The sequence below is a fragment of the Homo sapiens genome, chromosome 9, assembly GCF_000001405.40.
Source record: "Homo sapiens chromosome 9, GRCh38.p14 Primary Assembly".
NCBI classification, from domain to species: domain Eukaryota; kingdom Metazoa; phylum Chordata; class Mammalia; order Primates; family Hominidae; genus Homo; species Homo sapiens.
In genome coordinates, this window is record NC_000009.12 from 7,473,435 (window position 1) to 7,478,731 (window position 5,297).

A 5,297-nucleotide genomic window follows, 5' to 3' on the forward strand; every position below is an offset into this window, starting at 1 on the left:
CCGTGTTCCATCCTTTATCTGACCACTCTAGACAACTGTGCCCTCAGTTGGGATGTAAGATGCGGGCCAGGAGGTCAGTGGCTCAGCTTTACTGTGGCTCCTTTGCTGGGTTTGTCCCCAGGCTTAGTGGCTGGACTTCTGCCCTGGTCCCTTCTTTCCTGAGTGACCCTTGATTGTCTGCTTAATGTCCTAGTTCTTTGGAAGGCTTGGGTTGATTCTTCCCTACACATGCCTCAGGGACTTGTATCCTATACCCAAATAAATTCTTTGGGTGAGTCCCTACCATTTGCTTCCAGGCTTCCCTGATAAGTTTAGTGCAGAGGAAGGGAAGAACAGGCTTTGGACATAAAGATAGTAGAATTCTCTCTAATTATCTTCACCTGTGAAAACTTGTGTTTAATATCTCTGACCATTAGTGTTTTTAATCTGTACAATGGTGTAATAATAATATACTTATGGGATTGTTATGTGGATTTCTTATTGTAGTTGCTCAATAAATGTGACAGACTTTCCACCTGTCATGATTATACACAGGTTTACTGGTTGGCCACTTTATACTGTTTGCCTATTGAACCTCTTCCTGTTCACGGATGCTAGGGAGTCTCTAACACCTAATAGATTTCAGGCTCTATAAAGTCCTCTATGGGTGTGACTATATTCCTGAGTACTGAGAATAAGTATATGTTAAGTGAATGAATAAGATACCTGGCCCACTGATATTGTTTGCCTGACTGGTTTCTAGGTCCCAGCCATCTAATTTCTGTCTTCAGACATGGTATCACTCAGCCCTCTAATATTGTAGGCTCCTATGAGAGTCTTATTCCCTTTCCCATCCCCAGTCCTTAGTGGTTAGTGGGGCAGTTGGTCAGCCTGCAATAAGAATAGTGTGATTGCCTGATGGGTTCATCTTGCCTCCTGCCCAGAAAAACTAATGCATAAAAAACAGCAGGTTTTTGCAGGAAAGAGTTTAATAATCACAGGGCCAGCAAAACAGAAGGATGGGGGTTAATTCTTAAATCAAAATGCAAATCAGAATGCAAAAAGTCTAGAAAACATTAGAAAAAAACAATCTTAGGTTCTTTAGTAATGACATTATCTATAGGAGCAATTGAGGAAGTCACAAATCATGTGACCTCTAGCCACGTGACTCCCGAGTAGTAAGGGATTATAGAAATTACATCTACATTTTAGCAGAATTCAGGTCTGTCCCATAATCCTAATCTTGTGGCCTTTGATCAGTCTTACAAAGGCTGTTTCAGTCCCCTAAACAAGGAGGAGGTCAGTTTAAGGCAGGGACTACTATCATCCTTGCTTCAAAGTTAAACCATAAACTAAATTCCTCCCATGGTTCGCTTGGCCTACATCTAGGAATGAGCAAGGAGAGCCAGCCTGTGAGGCTAGAAAAAAGACAGAGTCAGCAATGCTACATTTCTTTCGCTGTCATAATCTGTAAAGAGGTGGTTTCAATCATCCGTATGGCCCTCTGCAAGTCTCTCTTCTATCCTAATACTAGGTAGATGCATATCTATCCTAATCCTGGATTTAGTTCACCTCTTACCTATGTACCATTTTGATTTCAAGGCTTTTCAGCTATCTACATGAGCACATAGTGTCTAGTCCATTTGCCACAGCTTTGAGGCCCCTGTAATTGGGTCCCCTGAGCTCCTCATTAAAGTGCCATGCTTGGTTGAGAAGGACCTGTTGTTTGCCTCTTTGTGTCTTTTGTAGATGCTGTAGGTCTTTGAAGGCTCCATACCCAATACTCTCCTAACACAAATCTGGAATGTACTTTATGACCAGCTATGCCCAATCTGTTTGATGTCCATTCTATATGAACAAACATGGGCATTCAAAAAACTTGAACTTTTAGTGTTGGCTGTGAGGCCCTACTCTTTAACGCCAAGATTTTCCACCACCCAAGATCTAGTTTTTAGTGGTGCTGGCCAAGCCTGTCACATGGGTGCTGTGTTCTAAAGCCAGGAGAGACCGAGGAACCTAAGACAGACAGCTTGGGCTGTTCATCTCACTATTAAGTCTTTCCTAGCCTCTTTCTCTTCCCAAAGAGCTGCCTGTGGGAATAGAGACTTCCCACCAGCTCTCTAGCTCTCCTCTACTTCCCACCCCTCACTAACTTTTTTAAAAAAATGTAACTGGGCGTGGTGGCACACGCCTGTAATCTCAGCTACTCAGGAGGCTGAGGCAGGAGAATCACTTGAACCTGGGAGGCAGAGGTTGCAGTGAACCGGGATCAAGCCACTGCACTCCAGCCTGGGTGAGACAGTGAGACTCGGTCTCCAAAAAAAAGTAACTGAAGCTAAAGAAAAGAAAAAGTATCACATTATAGCATTGAGGATTAGAATATGGCAATATGCATTTCTCAATTTCCTCCACAAAAACAACACAACAATCTCAAACTAAACTTCTTGGACTTATTTCTTAGTCAGAAGTAGCTAACTTCCCAATTAATGTTTAAAACAAAGTTAAAAATTCCTCCTCTAGGCAGCTCTATCCAGAGATAGCTTCTAGCTAAGAGAAGCTGGTAATTTGCATATAAAGACTTCTTTTAATTACTCTCTAAAACCTGCAGTTTTTACAAGCTATGTCTGACATAAACTGCTACTGTATCTTGTTGCAAAAGAATTCTTGTGAACCTAACTCCAGAGAGATCAGTCTTGAATGGAGAAAGAGGTTTCCACATAGTATTGAGACCTAATGGCCAAATTTCTCTCCTACTTCTAAATCTCTTGGATCATTGTCTCTAGGAGCTAGTAAGGGGCTTAACACCAAGAGCAAAACTCACTAAATAATCCTTGAATTGGATTAGGGCCTTTTACTTTTATGCATATCTAGTTTGATCATAATTTGTTCAGTTTAGGACTCTTAACCTTGACACTATTGACATTTTGGATCAGAAAACTTTTTTTTGATGGGGGCACTTTCCTGTCCACTGTAGGATGTTTAGCAGCATTCCTGACCTCCATCTACTAGATGCGAGTTATACCTACCAGTGGGACAACCAAAAATATCTCCAGTCATTGCCAAATACCCGCTGGGGGAACATCACCACCTCCATTTGAGAAACACTGCTCCAGTTAGATCCAAATTAGGCTGAGCAGAAAGAATTGCGAAGAGGGAAAGAACGAAAGGCCGTCTGTTGATACATAGATTTCCTTTATGTCCTTTGGAATTTACCTCTCCCGTCTCCTCCTTTCTGATTACCTTGAATGTCATTGTTCCTAATCTAAAAGAAGTGGCTAGAGATATTAGGATGTTTGTTCTTAAGGCACCAGGAAAATGAAATTAAACAGGTGTTTGAGAAAGGGAATTGTAAAATCTGGAATAGAAATAGAGGGTGAATACGTCCTCCCAAATTTTCTATAAGTCACAGCTTCTCAAAAAAATTCATGTTTAGAAGAGACGTATGTGTCAGTGGAGGAAGTGTAATGATAATATTCAGTAATTGAGTACGTACTATGTTCCAAGTTTTCTTGTCACATAGATTTTTGTTTGTTTGTTTGTTTCTCACTGCCTGTATAATCAGGTCTTTATTCAAAAGAAGCTGTCCACAATGATTTGACCTTTATGGAATAATCAAATTTAAGAGTTAATGCAGCAGGCTTCTTTTCCTCTACAGTAGGTTTCTTTTCTGCAGGCTTCTTTTCAGGGGCTGATTTCTTGGTAGCTGCTGCCTTTTTTCCCACCAGAGGCTTCTTCTGCTTCTTCACACCAACAGCAGCCTTCTTTCCTTTCTTACCTACCACAGGCTTCTTGCCTGCAACCGCCGCCTTCTCATCTGGTTTGGCTTCTAGTGCTGCTGCAGCAGCAGCTGCCTTATCCATCCGGAGCTTGTGATTCCTGGCCTGGCGAAGAATGGTGTTCCGGCGCATGGTCTTTGCATATGGGTTTAGCTTCAACATGATTCTCAAGTTTTTCAGTGGGTTCTTCTTTAGGACTCTGCGATGAATCTTCTTGCTTGGTGCCCGAAAGGCTCTTTGGATCTCTGGGCTTTTCAAGATTCTGCTAAGATCTGTATTAATCATCTTGTGCATGGGAAGATTGTAGTTACTCTTGAGGGAAGCGGCTTTACGCCAAGTGCCATACAATTCATCCAACTTCCGGAAAGCACTTCCAGTCCAAATGCAGAAACGTCCCACGTGCCCACCAGGAGCAAGCTTCGAAATGGTCAGCTTGCTTACATTAAGCAGAGTAATTGCAGGGATGTTTCTGAAGGCCTTGATACCATTATCCTCATTATAGATGATGCACGGGCCCCTGCGCTGGATACGGCGACGGTTTCTCATTTTGCCTTTGCCAGCTCTCATTCGCTGAGAGGCATAGACCTTTTTGATATCGTTCCTGGCTTTAAGTTTCTTAAGGAGCAAAACAGCTTCCTTGGTCTTCCTGTAGCCTTCAACTTTATCTTCGACTACCAAAGGAAGTTCAGGAACTTCCTCAATACGATGACCTTTAGACATGACCAGTGCTGGTAGGGCTGAGGCAGCCAGGGCAGAACAGATGGCATACCGTTTTTGGGTTGTGTTCACTCTACGATGCCAACGGCGCCAGGTTTTGGTTGGTGCAAACCTTCGGCCTCCACGACACATGTTTCCAAAAGCACCCTGGCCGGAGCGGTGAGTCCCACCACCTCGAACTCTGGGAATTCGAGCCACAGCTCTGCCAGTACCCCAAGACTCAGTGCTGGTCCGATGACCTGCTAATTCACTGGCAGCGTAGGGCTGTCTGTTGTTTTTGCGCAAGTTGGTGTGAACAAAGTTCACGATGTCTGGTCGAATAGGAGCCTTGAATACAGCGGGCTAAGTGACATTTTTGCCAGATGACTCCCCCTTTTCGGAGTACAGCGACATCAGTGGGCGGACACACGCCATGGCGGAGAGAGTAGACAGCCACTCTCCTCTCAGCCCGGCTGCTGCCCCCAGGAAAAAGCGTCACGTAGATTTTTATCAGTTACTCTTAATAATAAACAATTTGGTAAGTTCAATATTATTATCATCCCCATTTCACAAAGAGAACGAGGAGGCTCAGAAGGAAGTAACTTGTCCCGGATCACCCAGATAGGAAGTGACGGACATGAGAGAGATTCAAATAAAGACCTTCAGATTAGCAAAACCGTGTTCTTCCTCCTTGAACATGTCCTTCATTGTGCCAGTTTTGGCACTCTCAACCCACAGGAAAAGATTTCTGTTCTTTTGGGGACTTTGTATAAGGTGGTTTTACATTAGTCAAGTCTTATTTTAATATGCCAGGAGATAATATATGCATATCTCTGTGCCAGTTCC

General features: G+C 43.2%; 1 pseudogene; it reads right to left on the reverse strand.

Annotated features, from left to right (window-relative positions):
* On the reverse strand, positions 3,517–4,942 carry RPL4P5 (ribosomal protein L4 pseudogene 5; annotated as a pseudogene).